We start from the raw sequence: 20,875 nt of genomic DNA, 5'->3' as shown, positions 1-20,875 counted from the left end.
CATCCTTCCAGCATCTATAAGCAGCTATAGTATTCTCCTCAATTCTTGTCCAGGCTAACTATCCCTATTTCCTTCAATCTTTCCTCATAAGACATACCTTTTAGTTCATCTACCACCCTGGTCTCTTTCCTTTGAAACTGTTTCAGTTTTCCTCACTATTAATGGCCAGTATCCAGCATTGAATACAACTGCTCAGATAAGATCTGACCAGTACATTACTTCAATCTTGGCAAATGGCTACCTGCCAGATACCCCCATTAATGCTGGCTCTATATTCTTGAAAATACAAAATAACAGGATTCTTACATGTTTTTCTTCAAACTGGTCTCCACCAAAAGCTGCCACACAGGGTTTGATGCCTCCTGTCCCCAAAGCTATTAGACTCAGGCCGATCAATGATAGGACTCTGAAATGGAGAGGTGAGAATGCCAACCATGTTGATACTAAATGCACCTGTAGAGATGGACTACAGAGCTGCAGAGGGGAAAAAATGTGTACAAGGGCAAAGATCCCCTTCACATTTCTACCCCATGGGTACTTTCCATTTGCCTTTATTCCTAGGAGGTATTCATGGTCAATTACCCTATTTATGATCCTTCGGCCTCTGCAAGAAAGTATGCATTATGTGGGAAGATTTCATCCCTGGTAGTTCCATTTACCCCTTATGAGCATCCGATAGAAACAGATACTGAAGGAACTCCAAAGCTAACACACTGGTTCCCAATCTTGTTTTGGTCAAAGGAGTACTTCAATGGAAAGACCTTTAAGGACCTGATCTCACATATTCTTACCAAAATTTAAAAAAAAATGTTCAAATTCATCATAATTAATAGCAACAGTGTCAAAGATTTTTGACGGGACACCAATAAGAAAGTAATATTTATTAAATATCAAGGCCAGGTGCAGAGGCTACGTCTATAATCCCAGCACTTTGGGAAGCTGAGGCAGGTGGATCACCTGAGGTCAGGAGTTCAAGACCAGCCTGGCCAACATGGTAAAACCCCATCTCTACGAAAAATACACAAATTAGCCGGGCGTGGTGGCAGCCGCCTGTAATCCCAGCGACTCGGGAGGCTGAGGTGGGAGAATCACTTGAACCCAGGAGGCAAAGGTTTCAGTGAGCCAAAATCACACCACTGCACTCCAGCCTGGGCAACAGAGCAAGACTCTGTCTAAAAACAAACAAACAAACAAACAAAATTTCTAACTCATAGGATAAATACATGTACACAGGCACACAGGCACATTATAATATGAATACATATAAACTGCTTTGTGAACAGCTGTAATCCTCTCTACTGACTGAATAGACAGACATCAGAATTTATCAAATGCCTCTGATCCCATAAACATCAATAGCAACTGAAATATATGGAACTACACATAAATGTAAATATTCAAAGCTTTGAGTATGACTTCTACAATTAATTATAAGGAAACATTATAGAGTTTTTTTTAACCCTGGTAAAGTATAGATGCATGGATGAATAAAAAGGTGAGGGAATATGTAGGGTATGAAGGTTTTGATTATTTTCAAGCATATGAAGAGGATACTAACTAGGCATTCTACAAGTCCCAAAAACAGATGAGCTCAGATAAAGTAGGAAAGAGTTCAACTGGTCATAAGACTGTTTTTCTTAACCAGTTTTGTAGTAAACTGTAGATTGAAAATAAAGAGACATCTCTGGTAAGAAAACAGAAAATAATTTGTAACAAATGTCTGAGAAAAGTAGTTTAGTTGATTCCATGATTTTACTCACGTGTGTACCACTTGTCCTCCCAGTATTGGTAAGGCACCCAAGGACTTGATCACATGGCCAAGCACATACACCAAGGAGAGATAGATGATTGTCCTGTTGAGAGAGCTAAATCAGTCAGTCTAAAACCAGAACTGAGAGATTTGAATAATACAGACTTAGGGTTCATACTGTTCTCAGTGTGGGGATAAATGGAGGAGGAGGAGGAGGGAGGAGGAAAGAATTATCTGAGAAATCCAAATAGAGACAATAATGGTGAATGAAGTGAACAGACTAGGAAAAAGGAGTGGAATTCTTCACTCTTTAGTGTTAGAGGTAATAGACATTCCCTTCAAGTTCCCTTCCTATACCCACCTTCCCCTTTGCCTCTACCCGCTCACTCCACACACACACAGAGAAACCCTACTTTGTACAGACATGACAAGAACAAGGTGGATTTGTAGCAAAAGTGACAGTGCTTTAAATTGGGAGAACCAGTAGAAGAGGATATTTGGACCTTAGGTGTTTTTCTCAAGGAATATCTTCTGCTGTAGAGAGCAAGAAGGGTCAAGGAAGAACTCCAAGTAAACAGGAATGGCTAACCCAAACAACTTCCTCAAAACTCAAGAAGCACTGGGAGGTAAAAAGCTCTCAGGTTCAGCCTGGGTAACTTGGACTCTTGGATTAATTGTAATCCTCACCACAGTTTCCTCAGGGACAAGTTAACAAGGGTAAGAAAGGAGCCAGGGACTTAGAATAGACTGTCCAGTGACAAAAATCATGCAGTTGGAAGGAACATCCTGTTGTATTGTTTTCTCAAAGAACTTGAACAGCAAATAGAAAGTAGAAGAATAAGGAACTCCAGTAAGAACATATAGAGAGATTCACACATTGAAATATGGCGCACTACAACATATATTCCTTATGTGTACTACCACACCAGCATTCCCACATATAAGTAGAATGTTAGCATTATAATGAACCTTGGAAATTACAGTTTACACCTGCAATTTTTAAGGTGTTTTATGCTAATGTGGAATAAAGAGAATAGAATGGAATAAAGATAGCAAAGAGAGGCCAGAGATGTCAGAACTCTCAGGATGTGGATTTCTCATTCTAAGTGCCTAATCCTTGGGTTAGCTTTCTAGGGAAGGGAACTTAAAGTGTATGGCGGGTAGCGGACAAGAAGTTAGGTGACTAGGGCACGGTGGCTCACGCTTGTAATCCCAGCACTTTGGGGGGCCAAGGTGGGTGGATCACGAGGTCAGGAGATCGAGACCATCCTGACCAACATGGTGAAACCCTGTGTCTACCAAAAATACAAAAATTAGCTGGGCGTGGTGACATGCACCTATAATCCCAGCTAGCGGGGAGGCTGAGGCAGGAGAATCGCTTGAACCAGGGAGTCAGAGGTTGCAGTGAGCCGAGAGATGGTGCCACTGCACTCCATACTGGCGACAGAGCAAGACTCCGTCTCAAAAAAAAAAAAAAAAAAAAAGTTAGGTGACTAATCTAGGACTAATTAACATCAGGGGAGGGAACAACTTTCCCAAAAGATCTTGTAACATCTTCTAGAGAAAGGTTCTCTTTGTTGTAATAAAAAGAATAAATAGAAAGGGAATAAAAAGGAACAGAAAAAAAAATGCTAGCTATCATGAACCCCAAACAGATGATCTATGTTAGATCATCATAGAGGAAAAAAAAAGGAGTTTGAGCTGGAGTGATATAGTCTGGGTAGTAAGATCGGTATCCAATTGATGGACTAAATCAGGGGTGTCCAATCTTTTGGCTTCCCTGGGCCACATTGGAAGATATATTGTCTTGGGCCACACATAAAATACACCAACACTAACAATAATTGGTGAGCTAAAAAAAAAAATCTAATAATGTTTTAAGAAAGTTTATAAATTTGTACTGGGCCACATTCAAAGCTGTCCTGGGCTGCATGTGGCCTGCAGGCTGCAGGTTGGACAAGCTTGGACTAAATGAATGAAAGAAGTGTAAGTGGTTTAGGAGGAAAATAGGCAACTTATAGATTAAAAAAACAACCAAAAAACAAACAAAAACAACAAACAAACAAAAACCTCATAGGAAATAGTTTAGCTATGAGGGATATAAGAGAGGAAACTAATGGCAGGAAACTAATAGGAGGAGCAAGAAGTCAAGAGACCTGAAAATTCTGCATTTGAAACGAGATATTAGGGTCATTGTAATCCCAACCATAGCACACAGAAATGCTTTAGGTTGACTTCACTAATCCTTCAATTTTACAAATCAAGAAACTGAAATCCAGACAGGTCAAATGACATTTCTAAACAGTGACTTTTGGGCCAGTTGCAGTGGTTCACCCCTGTAATCCCAGAACTTCAGGAAGCTGAGGTGGACGGATCACTTGAGGTCAGGAGTTCAAGACCAGCCTGGCCAACACAGTGAAACCCCACCTCCACTAAAAATACAAAAATTTGCCAGGCATGGTGGTGCATGCCTGTAATCCCAGCTACTTGGGAGGCTGAGATGGGAGGATCACTTTAACCCAGGAGGTGGAGGTTGCAGTGAGCTGAGATCTCACAACACTGTACTCCAGACTGGGAGACAGAGCAAGACTCCATCTCAAAGAAATAAAAAATAAATAAATAAATAAAAATAAAAATAAATAAATGAACAGTGACTTTTTTTTTATTGTAGAGATGGGGTCTTGCTATGTTGACCAGGCTGGTCTCAAACTCCTGGCCTCAAGCAATCCTCCTGCCTCAGCCTCCCAAAGTGCTGGGATTACAGGCATGAGCCGCTACATCTGGCCCCAAAGTGACATTTTAATTAGTATTAGGGTTAGGTGTAGAGCTTCTATATTTAACTCATAATCCAGCATTCCTTTGGTTTTATCATGAACAAGTTAATGTGGAAAAAGAAAATGGAAGAGAAAGAAGTAATACATTTTATTTCACCATATGAATATAAAAAGCCAGAGCCATTTTTAATAGGCACTTAGGAACTAAGAAGAGGTATATACAGAGGCTGAGAGTGTGTAGTGATGGCAGAGGAAGAGAGCTTGCATGAAGAAAAGAAGGTCAGTTCTGATCAGACAAAAAAGAGGAGAGAGAAAGGACATACTATACAGACCCACTCAGAGAAAGAGAAAAGAGAAGTGTGGAGAGGACATTCAAAAGCATAATAACTCCAAGATGGCTGAATACGAACCACTCCGGTCTGTAGCTCCCAGCGTAGTTGATGCAGAAGATGGTGATTTCTGCATTTCCAACTGAGGTACCTGGCTCATTTCATTGGGACTGGTTGGACAGTGGGTGCAGCCCACAGAGGGCGAGCTGAAGCAGGGTGGAGCATTGCCTCACCCAGGAAGGACAAGCGGTTGGGGGATTTCCCTTTCCTAGCCAAGGGAAGCCGTGACAGACTGTACCTGGAAAATCGCAACACTCCCACCCAAATACTGTGCTTTTCCAAAGGTCTTAGCAAACGGAACACCAGGAGATTATATCCTGCGCCTGGCTTGGTGGGTCCCATGCCCATGGAGCTTTGCTCACTGCTAGCGCAGCAGTCTGAGATCGACCCACGAGGCAGCAGCCTAGTAGGGGGAGGGGCATCTGCCATTGCTGAGGCTTGAGTAGGTAAACAAAGAAGCTGGGGAAGCTTGAACTGGGCAGAGCCCACTGCAGCTCTGCAAGGCCTGCTGCCTCTGTAGACCCCACCCACCTCTGGGGTCAGGGCATAGCGGAACAAAAGGCAGCAGAAACTTCTGCAGACTTAAACGTCCCTGTCTGACAGCTCTGAAGAGAGCACTCGTTCTCCCAGTAGGGTTTTTGAGCTCTGAGAACGGACAGACTGCCTCCTCAAGTGGGTCCCTGAAGCCTGTGTAGCCTAACCGGGAGACACCTCTCAGTGGGGACCAACTGACACTTCATTACAGGCGGGTGTCCCTCTGGGACGAAGTTTCCAGAGGAAGGATCAGGCAGCAATATTTGCTGTTCTGCAATATTTGCTGTTCTGCAGCCTCCACTGGTGATACCCAGGCAAACAGGGTCTGGAGTGGACTTCTAGCAAACTCCAACAGACCCGCAGCTGAGGGACCTGACTGTTAGAAGGAAAACTAATAAAAAGGAAGAAATAGCATCAACATCAACAGAAAGGACATCCACACCAAAACCCCATCTGTAGGTCACCAGCATCAAAGAACAAAGGTAGATAAAAACCACAAAGATGGGGAGAAACCAGAGCAGAAAAGCTCAAAATTCTAAAAACCAGAGTGCCTCTTCTCCTCCAAAGGATCGCAGCTCCTTGCCAGCAATGGAACAAAGCTGGACGGAGAATGACTTTGATGAGCTGACAGAAGTAGGCTTCAGAAGGTTGGTAATAACAAACTTCTTCAAGCTAAAGGAGAATGTTTGAACCCATTACAAGGAAGCTAAAAACCTTGAAAAAAGATTAGATGAATGGCTAACTAGAATAAACACTGCAGAGAAGACTTTAAATGACCTGATGGAGCTGAAAACCATGGCACGAGAACTATGTGATGCATGCACAAGCTTCAATAGCTGATTCAATCAAGTGGAAAAAAGGGTATCAGTGATGGAAGATCAAATAAATGAAATAAGCAAGAAGAGAAGTTTAGAGAAAAAAGAGTAAAAAGAAATGAACAAAGCCTCAAAGAAATATAGGACTATGTAAAAAGACCAAATCTACATTTGATTGGTGTACCTGAAATTGACAGGGAGAATGGAACCAAGTTGGAAAACACTCTTCAAGATATTATCCAGGAGAACTTCCCCAACCTAGCAAGGCAGGCCAACATTCAAATTCAGAGAACACCACAAAGATACTCCTCGAGAAGGGCAACCCCAAGACACATAATTGTCAGATTCACCAAAGTTGAAATGAAGGAAAAAATGTTAAGGGCAGCCAGAGAGAAAGGTCGGGTTACCCACAAAGGGAAGCCCATCAGACTAACAGTGGATCTCTCGCCAGAAACCCTACAAGCCAGAAGAGAGTGGGGGCCAATATTCAACATTCTTAAAGAAAAGAATTTTCAACCCAGAATTTCATATCCAGCCAAACTAAGCTTCATAAGTGAAGGAGAAATAAAATCCTTTACAGGCAAGCAAATGCTAAGAGATTTTGTCACCACCAGGCCTGCCCTAAAAGAGCTCCTGAAGGAAGCGCTAAACATGGAAAGGAACAGCTGGTACCAGCCACTGCAAAAACATGCTGAATTGTAAAGACCATCAATGCTAGAAAGAAACTGCATCAACTAACGGGCAAAATAACCAGCTAACATCATAATGATTGGATCAAATTAACACATAACAATATTAACCTTAAATGTAAATGGGCTGAATGCCCCAATTAAAAGACATAGAGTGGCAAATTGGATAAAGAGTCAAGACCCATCAGTGTGCTGTATTCACGAGAACCATCTCATGTGCAGAGACACACATAGGCTCAAAATAAAGGGATAGAGGAAGATCTACCAAAGCTACCAAGTAAATGGAAAGCAAAAAAAAAGCAGGGGTTGCAATCCTAGTCTCTGACAAAACAGACTTTAAACCAACAAAGATCAAAAGAGACAAGGAAGGCCATTACATAATGGTAAAGGGATCAATTCAACAAGAAGACCTAGCTATCCTAAATATATATGCACCCAGTACAGGAGCACCCAGATTCATAAAGCAAGTCCTTAGAGACCTACAAAGAGACTTAGACTCCCACACAATAATAATGGAAGACTTTAACACCCCACTGTCAGTATTAGACAGAACAATGAGATAGAAGGTTAACAAGGATATACAGGACATGAACTCAGCTCTGCACCAAGTGGACCTAATAAACATCTACAGAACTCTCCACCCCAAATCAATAGAATATACATTCTTCTCAGTACCACATCACACTTATTCCAAAATTGACCACATAGTTGGAAGTAAAGCACTCCTCAGCAAATATAAAAAAACAGAAATCACAACAAACTGTCTCTCAGAACACAGTGCAATCAAATTAGAACTCAGGATTAAGAAACTCACTCAAAATGCACAACTACATGGAAACTGAACAACCTGCTCCTGAATGACTACTGGGTAAATAACAAAATGAAGGCAGAAATAAAGATGTCCTTTGAAACCAATGAGAACAAAGACACAACATACCAGAATCTCTGGGACACATTTAAAGCAGTGTGTAGAGGGAAACTTATAGCACTAAATGCCCACGAGAGAAAGCAGAAAAGATCTAAAATCGACACCTTAACATCACCATTAAAAGAACTAGAGAAGCAAGAGCAAACAAATTCAAAAGCTAGCAGAAGGCAAGAAATAACTAAGATCAGAGCAGAACTGAAGGAGATAGAGACACAAAAAACCCTTCAAAAAATCAACGAATCCAGGAGCTGGTTTTTTGAAAGATCAACAAAATTGGTAGACCACTAGCAAGACTAATAAAGAAGAAAAGAGAGAAGAATCAAATAGATACAATAAAAAATGATAAAGGGGATATCACCACCGATTCCACAGTAATACAAACTACCATCAGAGAATACTATAAACACCTCTATGCAAATAAACTAGAAAATCTAGAAGAAATGGATAAATTTCTGGACACATACACCCTCCCAAGACTAAACCAGAAAGAAGTTGAATCTCTGAATAGATCAGTAACAGGTTCTGAAACTGAGGCAATAATTAATAGCCTACCAACCAAAAAAAGGCCAGGACCAGACGGATTCACAGCTGAATTCTACCAGAGGTAGAAAGAGGGGCTGGTATCATTCCTTCTGAAACTATTCCAATCAATAGAAAAAGAGAGAATCCTGCCTAACTCATTTGATGAGGCCAGCATCATCCTGATATGAAAGCCTGGCAGAGACAACAAAGAAAGAGAATTTTAGACCAGTATCCCTGGTGAACACCAATGTGAAAATCCTCAATAAAATACTGGCAAACCGAATCCAGCAGCACATCAGAAAGGTTATCCACCATGATCAAGTCGGCTTCATCCCTGGGATGCAAGGCTGGTTCAACATATGCCAATCAATAAACGTAATCCGGCATATAAACACAATCAACAACAAAAACCACATGATTATCTCAATAGATGCAGAAAAGGCCTTCGACAAAAATCAACAGCCCTTCATGCTAAAAACTCTCAATAAACTAGGTATTGATGGAACGTATCTCAAAATAATAAGAGCTATCTATGACAAACCCACAGCCAATATCATACTGAATGGGCAAGAACTGGAAGCATTCCCTTTGAAAACTGGTACAAGACAGGGATGCCCTCTCTCACCACTTCTATTCAACATAGTGTTGGAAGTTCTGGCCAGGGCAATTAGGCAGGAGAAGGAAATAAAGGGTATTCAATTAGGAAAAGAGGAAGTCAAAATGTCCCTGTTTGCAGATGACATGATTGTATATCTAGAAAACCCCACTGTCTCAGCCCAAAATCTCCTTAAGCTGATAAGCAACTTCAGCAAAGTCTCAGGATACAAAATCAATGTACAAAAATCACAAGCATTCTTATACACCAATAACAGACAAACAGAGAGCCAAATCATGAGTGAACTTCCATCCACAATTGCTACAAAGAGAAAAAAATACCTAGGAATCCAACTTACAAGGGATGTGAAGGACCTCTTCAAGGAGAACTACAAACCATTGCTCAATGAAATAAAAGAGGATACAAACAAATGGAAGAACATTCCATGCTCATGGATAGGAAGAGTCAATATCGTGAAAATGGCCATACTGCCCAAGGTAATTTATAGATTCAATGCTATCCCCATCAAGCTACCAATGACTTTCTTCAGAGAATTGCAAAAAACTACTTTAAAGTTCATATGGACGCAAAAATAGCCCACATTGCCAAGACAATCCTAAGCCAAAAGAACAAAGCTGGAGGCATCAGGCTACCTGACTTCAAACTATACTACAAGGCGACAGTAACCAAAACAGCATGGTACTGGTACCAAAACACATATATAGACCAATGGAACAGAACAGAGGCCTCAGAAATAACACCACACATCTACAACCATCTGATCTTTGACAAACCTGACAAAAACAAGCAATGGGGAAAGGATTCCCTATTTAATAAATGGTGCTAGGAAAACTGGCTAGCCATATGTAGAAAGCTGAAACTGGATCCCTTCCTTACACCTTATACAAAAATTAATTCAAGATGGATTAAAGACTTACATGTTAGACCTAAAACCATAAAAACCCTAGAAGAAAACCTAGACATTACCATTCAGGACATAGGCATGGGCAAGGACTTCATGTCTAAAACACCAAAAGCAATGGCAACCAAAGCCAAAATTGACAAATGGGATCTAATTAAATTAAAGAGCTTCTGCACAGCAAAAGCAACTACCATCAGAGTGAACAGGCAACCTACAGAGTGGGAGAAAATTTTTGCAATCTACCCATCTGACAAAGGGCTAATATCTAGAATCTACAAAGAACTTAAACAAATTTACAAGAAAAAAACAACACCATCAAAAAGTGGGCAAAGGATATGAACAGACACTTTTCAAAAGAAGACATTTATGCAGCCAACAGACACATGAAAAAATGCTCATCATCACTGGCCATCAAAGAAATGCAAATCAAAACCACAATGAGATACCATCTCACACCAGTTAGAATGGCAATCATTAAAAAGGCAGGAGACAGCAGATGCTGGAGAGGATGTGGAGAAATAGGAACACTTTTACACTGGTTGGTGGGACTGTAAACTTGTTCAACCATTTCAACCATTGTGGAAGACAGGGATCTAGAACTAGAAATGCCATTTGACCCAGCCATCCCATTACTGGGTATATACCCAAAGGATTATAAATCATGCTACTATAAAGACACATGCATACATATGTTTACTGCAGCACTATTCACAATAGCAAAAACTTGCAACCAAGCCAAATGTCCATCAATGATAGACTGGATTAAGAAAATGTGGCACATATACACCATGGAATACTATGCAACCATAAAAAAGGATGAGTTCATGTCCTTTGCAGGGACATGGATGAAGCTGGAAACCATCATTCTGAGGAAACTATCACAAGGACAGAAAACCAAACACCACATGTTCTCACTCATAGGTGGGAATTGAACAATGAGAACACTTGGACACCAGGCGGGGAACGTCACACATGGGGGCCTGTCATGGGGTGGAGGGCTGGTGGAGGGATAGCATTAGGAGAAATACCTAATGTAAATGGCGAGTTCATGGGTGCAACAAACCAACATGGCACATGTATACCTATGTAACAAACCTGCACGTTGTGCACGTGTACCCTAGAACTTAAAGTATAATAAAAAATAAAAATTAAAATTAAATTAAAATAAAAAAATAATAAACACGTTTAAGAGAGTGGTTCTAAGTGATTGCCCAGGTCAAAAATCAAAACTGATGAGCCTGGGTAATAGGATATAAAATCTAGGAACTATGACTAAAAATGTTTTCCTTTCTTAAAACCAACTTGACACTACAAATAGCATCCTTGAGAAACCAATATGCATGTTTAATAATTTTTGTTTTCCCACTGCGTACCTATTGATTAGTCTTTCCTGTATGTAGCTCTGAAGGAAGCCTCACTTCTTTCCTGGCATAGGGAGTTCCTTAAACAAGAGTCAGGGACTCTGGATGCCCATTTCCTCTTAACATATCTATTATTCTGGGATAGCAAACAGAGGAAAGATTTTTAATAGAAGTTGTTTACTAACTTCAGGAAATTGCCCCTTCAGGGTTTGAACAATCTTTCTAATGTTAGAGAAGGCTTTTCACCCTCAAAGTAACACGTGAATAAAAGTAAACACACCACACACACACACACACACACAAACACATACTCAGGCAGAGAAACATATGAGAGGTGGGGAAGAACTTAACGGTTTGAAACAAAAATCTATCCATTTTCCTCTAGCAAATGAAGAAAATAGGCTACAGGTTCAAATTAGAAAAGACAGTAAAGGAAGAGTCTTGTCTTTTTTCTGATTTTCCAACTTAAGGAAGGGTAGTTTTAAATACTTATTCCCTTTTGTTGCTGTTATCATCTGTTTGTATATGTTACACACACATGCACACGCACACACACACAAACATGACTACAGGAGAACAAGTTACCCACATTTTCTCAAACTACTCCCTTTGTGAAAGAGATACAAATCACCCCCAAGTTTTCTTATTTAAAAAGCAACCAAAATACCCACAATAAAATAAAAGTAACCTTCATGCCTGTCTACATCTATCTGCAGTCATGTGGCTACATTTGAGGGTCTGAGGGTGAATAAATTTATGAATTCGAAGATTTACTGTGGGCCTATCTGCTAGGCACTATTCTACGTGCTCTTGGATAAAAATATAAATCACAGCCGGGCACAGTGGCTCACACTTGTAATCCCAGCAGTTTGGGAGACAGAGGTGGGTGGACCACTTGAGGTCGAGTTCGAGACCAGCCTGGCCAACATGGTGAAATCTCATCTCTACTAAAAATACAAAAATTAGCCGGGCATGGTGGTACATGCATATAATCCCAGATACTCAGGAGGCTGAGGCAGGAGAATCGCTTGGACCTGGGAGGCAGAGGTTGCAGTGAGCCGAGATTGCATCACTGCACTCCAGCCTGGGTGACAGAGCGAGACTTTGCCTCAACGACAAAAAATATGTATATTATATATATACTTATATATTATACATATTATATACATTCATATAATATATAAATGACTGGGGTGGGTGGGGAAAAATATATATAAATGACTTTGTCCTCTAAGTGTTTGAAAGAAGATATCAGATTCATATATAAATAATTAAATAACTATAATAAGATAGAGTTTAGTAAATGTCATATAAGGGTGAGAAAACAAAGAACTCAGAAAACACTATATTACTTCCAGCTATAGTAAAAGGTGAGGGGGCAGAGAATACTCCATAGCATAGGTGGTATTTGAGTGAGCCTTACGGGGTTTGGACATGAAAGGGTGGGGAAGAAGGGGTTTCCATGAAGCAGAAACAATGCAAACAGACATGAAAAAGAGATGTCATTGGATATGATTACAGAAATATTAGTATTACATTTTCCTCTAGTGGCCATTCTCGAAAGGAGATAAGTATGACAGTAAGCACAGAAAAGTCAGTTGGAGTGAGATTAGTAGACAGTGATTTAATAGTCACCAGAAATTGCTGAGCAGAGTAGTAATGTGATCAGGATTTCTTTTAGGAAAATTAATTTGGCAGTAGCATATATGCTCAATTGTAGGAAAAAGAGATGGGAAGCAGTAAAAACATTTTAGATGTCCATTTTAATATCTCAATTTAAAGACATTGAGACAATGAAGACCAAAACTGGGTGATGGCAACTAATGCAGTGGATGTTGTGCTGAAAAGGGATAAATGTGAGAGAGATTGTGGCAAGCAGAATTGGTAGAATTTGATAACTGATTGAAGGTGGGAATGTAGAGAAGACAGAAGAAAGAACAGATTTGTGGAGGTGAATGCCAATATGTAATTCACTGGAATTTGAGGAGCCATCTGCATATAGCTAATATCCACACCACAGAATTTGCTAAGGAAGAATCTAGAGAAAGAGAAGAGGGTAAAAGTTATAACCTGGGAAAATGCTTACACTCAGGAAAGAGTGAAGTAAACAAGAGGCAAAAGAGAAGCCAGATAAGTAAGAAAAGATATAAGAGGACGAGAGTGAGAAAAATATACTGTAGAGAAGGCCAGGGAGTTTCACAGAAATGATAAACAGACTGAAATGTTAACAACAAGTTCAAAATGAGTAAGAATTTAGAAAAGACCACTGGAATTTGCTAATGAAGAAATTCTTACCAGTGATCTTAGGGAGTAATTTCAGAAGGAAAAAAGATGATTTACAGTATATCTTATTGTACTACAATATGATCTGTATTAAAGCTATTTGAATATGAACAATATGAATTAGGTAGTATGTGTAATTCACCTCTTCATCCTCCATGGTTCCTTGGACAAACAGAAGGTGCTCAATAAACATTTATTGAATTAAATTGGGTCAAATCAAATTAAATTGAATTGGATTATATTGCATTATATTATATTACTCTACCATAAGAACTGATAATGAAGAGTGAGAAAGGCAACACATACAGAGGATTATTTTTATAATATGGGGTTAATGTAAAAGGAGAAAAATGATAGGAAAAGAGAGTCAAGATGAGTTTTGTTCATTTAAAGCTATTAAAGATTTGCTCCTGCTTCTAGTTGAAGGAAAAGACTCTGGTTCTCTGGGAGAATTTGAAGGCAAGAGAGGGGAATAGTGAGGGTACAGAGACCCTAGGGAGAGTGATCTAGGTGATGGTGATACATACATAAAAACTGATCAAGGTGTACAGTTAAGGCTTTTGAATTTGTGTACTTTATGTAAGTTATATCCCAATAAAAATAAATTAAAAACAATAATAAATACATCAAGAAGGATTGATTTGAGAGCACAAGTAGAGGTTGTTAAATTTTCTCTGAATTAACCAGGAAACAATTGCTCACCAAATCCTGTAACTGTACTTCTTCAATCTTAAAGGAAGTTATTTTTAAAATAAATAAAAGTGGTATGTCATGTATATGAATCTTTATTCTACAACTGAATAAATAGATTATGGCTTGCACTTTTTATTCTGCAAGTAGTGCCAATCTCCTATCTAGATAAACTTGGTGACTACTACTACATATGTAGCAAATGTAGATCTCAGCTACTCACCCACCATTCCTCTCCCAAGTCAAGAAACTGTTCAGTACTGTGTTATGTCTATAGATATATATTAGGTGCTGATTAAACACTTATAGAATAATGAACATATATCGGCCAAAGTAAGCTATAAACCATTGTTTACTAAAGAGAATTCCTTGGAACACTGGGTCCACAAAATATCCAGAAAAAATATTCCATAGTCAAACTGGTTTGGGAAACACTACATACTACAACCTTCTATGGAGATTTTATAGTTCATATTAGCGTATTTAAGGCTATAAGAAGTCATGCAGTAAGGGAACATTTTTAGCTTTGCTCAGCCTAACAGTTTCCAAACTTGTTTGACCACAAGAGCTTTATTTTCCCACATAACTTATTATATTTTATAGTTTTGAACAGAATGCCCTTTGAGAAATGCTCATTTAGACAAATCTATGGATGACAGGTCCATAGAAAATAATTGGGCAGGGGATAACCACGATCCATTTCTAAGCTTATCAGTTTAATGTTATAGGGGACAATTATAACATTATACCATGTTATATCTCTTGGTGCTGTGTTCAGGGACTTAAAAGATACTGAACTGAATGAACCAATAGTCTAACTCATGAAAATATTAGATTCATAAGAAGGAAACTACAAAAGACATTAGAGAAGAGAAATAGATGGTAAAAGAGCTGAAAAGAGACACTCATAAGAAGATCCTAAAGGAGGTGGGATAACTCAATCTGGAGAAGAGATGGAGAAAGTATCAAATAACTACATAAAAGCATCAAAATTTCAATTTTTTTTTTTTTTTGAGACAGAGTCTTTTTCTGTTGCCCAGGCTGGAGTGCAGTGGCATGATCTTGGCTCACTGCAACCTCTGCCTCCCATATTCAAGCAACTCTCCTGCCTCAGCCTCCCAAGTAGCTGGGATTACAGGTGCCCGCCACCATGCCTGGCCAATTTTTGTATTTTTAGTAGAGACGGGGTTTCACCATGTTAGCCAGGCTAGTCTCAAACTCCTCACCTCAGGCAATCTGCCCGCCTCGGCCTCCCAAAGTGCTGGGATTACAGGCGTGAGCCACCGCACCTGGCTAAAATTAGAAATTTGCTGGTGGATAGTGCTGTCTATCTCCAACAAGATCAGAGCAAGATTTAATATTAAACTATGGAATGGAAGGTTAAAATTAGTTTTAAGGAACAAAAGATACCGCAACTGAAGAGGATGTAAACACATTGGAAAAATTGATAATGAAAAGAATAGCCTTTCCTTGTTACCACAGAGATTCTTTTTTTTTAAATTTCCCACACTACACAGATGTACAGAGATTCTTATTTTTCACGCATGACATAGGTATGTTCTTACTCAGAAGCAAGAGGCTAGAAGTGATAGCCTTCTGCACAACCTGTGAAACTTGTAGGGATGTGACCTCCCATCTTCCTTACTTGAATTTTCCCAACCACGAGTCAGCAATGGCTGCTCCCAGGATGGGAGTAAAATAACAGAGGCTGCTGAAGGCATGGTATATAGATGTGGAGGTATCTTCATTCCAGTGCAGGAAATACAGGAAATACAGGATCAGCACAGCTGTAGTGGGAAAAAAAAGGAGGCGTGGGGAGACAAAACAAGATAGATGCATTAAAGTGACTTATGGAAAAAAATATTTAATCTCTGGTCTTTATAATGTGATTTTGGCCTTCAGCACTCCTATCAGTGACATGACTGAGAAGTGACTGCCAGGCAGTAGAAGCAGGGCCCCATGGGAGTTGTGGGAGTGAATGGGACTATGTTGAATGTACAAATATAATACTCCTCCCTTCAGTCTATGTGCACCCCTAGCATCATTTAGGCCAACCATGAACATAACATGGTGCTTCCAATATCCCTTCCCTCTCCTCTCCTTCCCAGCAACAAGATGATAAGACCTCTTATCTGAATTCCATTCTTCATACCTGTTCCTCAGGTATGAGCCCTTAGCCAAGAGCTGTTAGCTCATACCTGAGGAACAGGTATGAAAAATGTAACTGAGATAATGAGAGCTTTCCCTCCCCCCCCTTTTTTTTTTTTTTTTTTGGAGATGAGTTCTTGCTATGTTGCCCAGGCTGGAGTGCAGTGGCCATTCACTGGCACAATTACAGGTGCCTGATAACCTTGAACTCCTGGGCCCAAGCAATCCTCCTGCTTCAGCCTCCCAAGTAGTGGCGACTACAGGCACATGCCATCATGCCCAGCTCCACCCACTTACCCATTCTCAAAGTCTATGTTCTGGTTTGTCTCAGGCCTTTCTGATCTTGGCCTACATATTAGGTGAAATCCTATGAGAGATTTATTGGAAGTCTTGGCCAAAGTAAAGGACCAATTTGGACCAAGGCAGAAAGAGTGGACTCGGGAAATAAGTGCATATAAAGAGACCAGGCTGTCACAAACATGGGGTGAGGGTGGGTGGAGGAGAGTAGGTAGGACTCTTGGACACAAAATTACCTTTCATTCCATAATAGGAAAAGCGCTCGCAGAATTCATTCACCACAATGAAGGCAATGCTCAGTGGATAGTTGGAGCCACAGATTGTCTATTCAACAAGAAGGCAATGATTCAAGCATGAGCTGTTTTTCCCTGTTTCAACAATTAGATTTCTTCAAAACTGAAAAATTCATTTATTTCAAATCATCTTGGTAGGTAATGGAGCAATGGTCTCTACTCTTCATGACACACCTATTAGGTAACACTAAAAGTGCTTATATTACTGATTTAGAAATAATAGAAGCTACTCTGAATATTATTTTGTTTCTTATTTATTTTACATGGACTTGCTCAAATATTCCTTGGACCTGCTCATCTTCCCACAACTACTAAATGAAAAGCCTAGGGCTCTGGGGCAGAAGAATGGTGATATTTACTTCCTAGGAACAGAATAAAGAGGTAGCCTATGGAATACCTGATATCCAAGCAGTGAGATTCAGATGTCAGTCTCTGCTTAGCCCCACTATGGGGACTCTTGTCCCCAGCTGTTCTGTTTGCCATGCTGGGAGGAATCCTGGCAATATGATAGCTTCTACTTCAGAGGCTGCTGGAGTCAGGCACAGAGCCCAACATGGAGGACAGAGATTCCTAAGGGTAAGCTAATTGATCACCTTGACTTTAGGCAGAGTTCTTAAATCCTGTAAAATTAAATGTCTACTCTTCCTACTAAAGAGATTCTATAACATTTTCATGATAATCCTACTGGACATTAAAAGAATTATGCTTTTCATGTAATATATCAGTCAGAATATAAGGAATGTTATGTTTTATTTTAATTCCCTATCTATTACAATAGACCAACTAACATGAGAAGAGACATAGAGGTATCTGTCCTCAGTACAGTCAAATCTTGTAAGATTTATATTGCCTCATTTCATGAGAAGTATATACATCTTTGCAAGTAGCCCTAAATTCTTTGGGACCAGAAGAGATATCATTAACTAAAAAAATAGGCAAAATAATAAAGTAATGTATTATTCTTTTAACCCTAGGGATATATATAAATGATCCTCCTAAATATTAATATATTTTAATGTTTTATAATAGCTTGTTTGAAACATACAATGAACTGGGCTTCTTACCTTTGCAGCTCACAGCTTGAGAATTATGCAATCTGGAGTTTAGCCGACACACTGTTAGCTAGTTAGGCAACACTGCCACTGGCTGTGTTAACATACTGATACTGGCATTGTCACTACACCTGTCTCAAAACCTCTGTTCTGTTATTCCAAAGAAATGAGAATAACATCACCTTTTGGCCCACTGTAAGAACTCAGTAAATTTTGGCTATCATTACTATATCCTCCCCACTTACAGAATTTTAGTGTAAGAATTGACTGAGATGATGAGTTTAGAAGTGCTTTAGCGAGTATATAAATGCAAAACATTACTATTCTCTGTTTCTCTGTCCTATCTCCCACAGTAAACTGGGAACACATAGTAACAGAAATTGGATCTATTCTGAAACTTCCATTGGTGTTCAGCAGAAGACTCTGCACACAGGGAGAACTAAGGGCAGAGTTTTTATATTGGTAAAGAAAGAACAATCACACACAGTTCTTCAGACAAGAATGCTTGCCAAGTTTCCCTGGACATTCGAATTGCTTTTTTCCCCCAGGGAAACAGAATATGCAATGAAATTCAGCAAGTCCCTGGATCCCAACTGAAGAACTTTGACTACCTCTTCCTGCTGCTTTGTCTTCTTATGTAAAGGAAGCTTCTGTTTAGATTTGGTTTCAGGTGAATTCTAAATCCAAGAGAGAAGCATTTTAATACCCTAATACAGCTCAGCTGGAAGCTCCAGAGCCCAAGGAAGAGAGCCAAAAGAGGGAGGCCATTCCTCTCAGAGGCAGGATTGAATCTAAGGACTCACCGGAGATGGCTTCTTTGGAGGGCTAGGTGGTCGAGGTGGTACCTCTTCAATGGAGACAGGTGAAAAAAGAGTTTCCTTGGACTCATTTTTCTGGAAAGGATTCATGGCTGGCTCCTTACTCTCTCTCTCTCCTCAAGCATTTGGCTTTAGTAGGCAGTTAGGACAGCTGCCAGCCTACTCTGAAAAGAAGGACTGGGAGGGGGAGCTGGTGGCTTCAGCAACTCAGTTTAACTCTGTGGGTGTCAGCTTCAATAGCTTCCTGATCCAGAGCAAAGCAGGAAGCTATAGTTAAAAAGAATGTGTAAAAGTACAGCACAGCAAAGTGAAAACATGCCAAAGACAGAATGAAACAATGCTAGAGAACTGATTAGAAAGTCTATGTTTAAGAAAGATTATCTTTGCAAAGGAGTAGAAGATAGTTAAGAACACAACACCTCGAGCACAGATTGAAAAACTGATTCCATGGTCAGGCGCGGTGGTTCACGCATATAATCCTAGCACTTTGGAAGGCCCAGGCAGGCGGATCGTTTTAGGTCAGCAGCCTGGCCCACATGGTGAAACCCCGTCTCTACTAAAAATACAAAAAAAAAATTAGCTGGGTGTGGTGGCGGGCGCCTATAATCCCAGCTACTCAGGAGGCTAAGGCAGAAGAATCACTTGAACCTGGGAGGCGGAGGTTGCGGTGAGCTGAGATTGCACCATTGCACTCCAGCCTGGGCAACAAGAGCGAAACTCCATTTCCAAAAAAAAAAAAAAAGAAAAACTGATTTCAGGGTAACAATAGCTGTAATTTATTGAACATCTACTATTGAAAGGTTAATATATATGAATTACATCTATGTTGTATATCTATAACATATATATTTATTCTAATTCATATTACTATCCCCATTTTATAGAAAGTAATGTTCCCAGAGGTTAAGAAATTTGTTCAAAGTACCTGTCCACTAAGTGGCAGATCTGGAATTTTCACTATGCCATGACAGCTGGGAAAAGTGGAGTTAGTGTCAGTCATTATTCAGGTATGGAGGTTACATAAATGGAATGTAGGAATGCAGAGGATTAAAATGCATTGGAGAAGGAAAGTCATCATAAAACTGAGTTTGGAAGATAAGAAAGATGGTGAGTTTTGGCTGGGTGCAGAGGCTTACGCCTGTAATCCCAACACTTTGGGAGGCCGAGGTGGGCTGATCACAGCTCAGGAGTTCAAGATTAGCCTGGCCAACATAGTGAAACCCCATCTCTACTAAAAATACAAAAATTAGCTGGGTGTGGTGGCACGCGCCTGTAGTCCCAGCTACTCAGGAGGCTGAGGCAGGAGAATCGTTTGAACCCAAGAGGCAGAGGTTGCAGTGAGCCGAGACCCCACCACTGCACTCCAGCCTGGGCGACGGAGCAAGACTTGAAAGAAAGAAAGAAAAGAAGGGAAAGAAAGGAAAGAAAGAAAGAAAAGAAGGGAAAGAAAGGAAAGAAAGAAAAGAAAAGAAAGGAAGGAAGGAAGGAGACTTTTGTTTTCAACATCATAAAAGTTCAGCTAGAAATAGCCTATAAGCAATTAAAGAGGTGGGGCTAAAGAAAATGAGAGAAAAGGATTGGTGATATACATTTGGGAACCATTGTTCTTCTTTGCTAAAGTCACTCCTTATATTTTCATTTTCTCACTTCAAGATTAATCTATTCTTTCATTTAATAAATAAAATTTAATTTGAGCAAAAATTGTGAACCAGTTACTTTCTAGGTACTGTTGTGAACACCATTTTCCTTAATTATACATTTAGTCCTTATCAGAAGAGGAACAAGAACAAACATCATAATGCTAGGTGCATTTTATGCTGTGTTATTTTTGTCAAGCCAAAGAAGTAAAAGGATAAGAAAAGAGCATGGTGCCCCTCTAGTTGTTTGTCAAAAGAAAAGGGAAAAGAAAGGCTAGAGAGCTATAAAAGAAATAAGAAAAATGAAGACTAAATCAACAAGGTCAGGCAACATCAGAATGAATTATTTTATTTGAAAATACAAGAGAGAAAACCTAT

General features: G+C 39.8%; 1 protein-coding gene across 4 annotated transcripts in view, besides 2 other annotated features; it reads right to left on the bottom strand.

Annotated features, from left to right (window-relative positions):
• SLC15A2 (solute carrier family 15 member 2) overlaps positions 1-19,026 on the bottom strand; it is a 49,788-nt gene extending 30,762 nt beyond the window's left edge. For 3 of the 4 annotated variants that reach the window (NM_021082.4, XM_005247722.4, XM_006713736.4), the window contains exons 1-5: positions 18,846-19,026; positions 16,934-17,021; positions 15,898-16,039; positions 1,761-1,853; positions 307-406 (exon numbers count right to left, since the gene is read on the bottom strand). In NM_021082.4, the coding sequence (NP_066568.3) occupies positions 307-406; positions 1,761-1,853; positions 15,898-16,039; positions 16,934-17,021; positions 18,846-18,950 (528 nt within the window). In that variant the 5' untranslated portion in view covers positions 18,951-19,026. The remainder of the gene's footprint in view (positions 1-306; positions 407-1,760; positions 1,854-15,897; positions 16,040-16,933; positions 17,022-18,845) is intronic. The other variant, NM_001145998.2, reaches the window with a different exon arrangement.
• Positions 19,534-20,066: an enhancer, noted in NCBI's record as "H3K27ac hESC enhancer chr3:121612208-121612740 (GRCh37/hg19 assembly coordinates)". NCBI's record gives its function as "activates a minimal SCP1, AML or CMV promoter by ChIP-STARR-seq in primed H9 embryonic stem cells {active_cell/tissue: H9 hESC(primed)}" and the evidence as "EXISTENCE:reporter gene assay evidence [ECO:0000049][PMID:30033119]".
• Positions 20,067-20,600: an enhancer, noted in NCBI's record as "H3K27ac hESC enhancer chr3:121611674-121612207 (GRCh37/hg19 assembly coordinates)". NCBI's record gives its function as "activates a minimal SCP1, AML or CMV promoter by ChIP-STARR-seq in primed H9 embryonic stem cells {active_cell/tissue: H9 hESC(primed)}" and the evidence as "EXISTENCE:reporter gene assay evidence [ECO:0000049][PMID:30033119]".

The sequence above is a fragment of the Homo sapiens genome, chromosome 3, assembly GCF_000001405.40.
Source record: "Homo sapiens chromosome 3, GRCh38.p14 Primary Assembly".
Taxonomy (NCBI): Eukaryota; Metazoa; Chordata; class Mammalia; order Primates; family Hominidae; genus Homo; species Homo sapiens.
The sequence above is the reverse complement of the archived record's forward strand: the minus strand, read 5'-3'. Positions and strand labels throughout refer to the sequence as shown.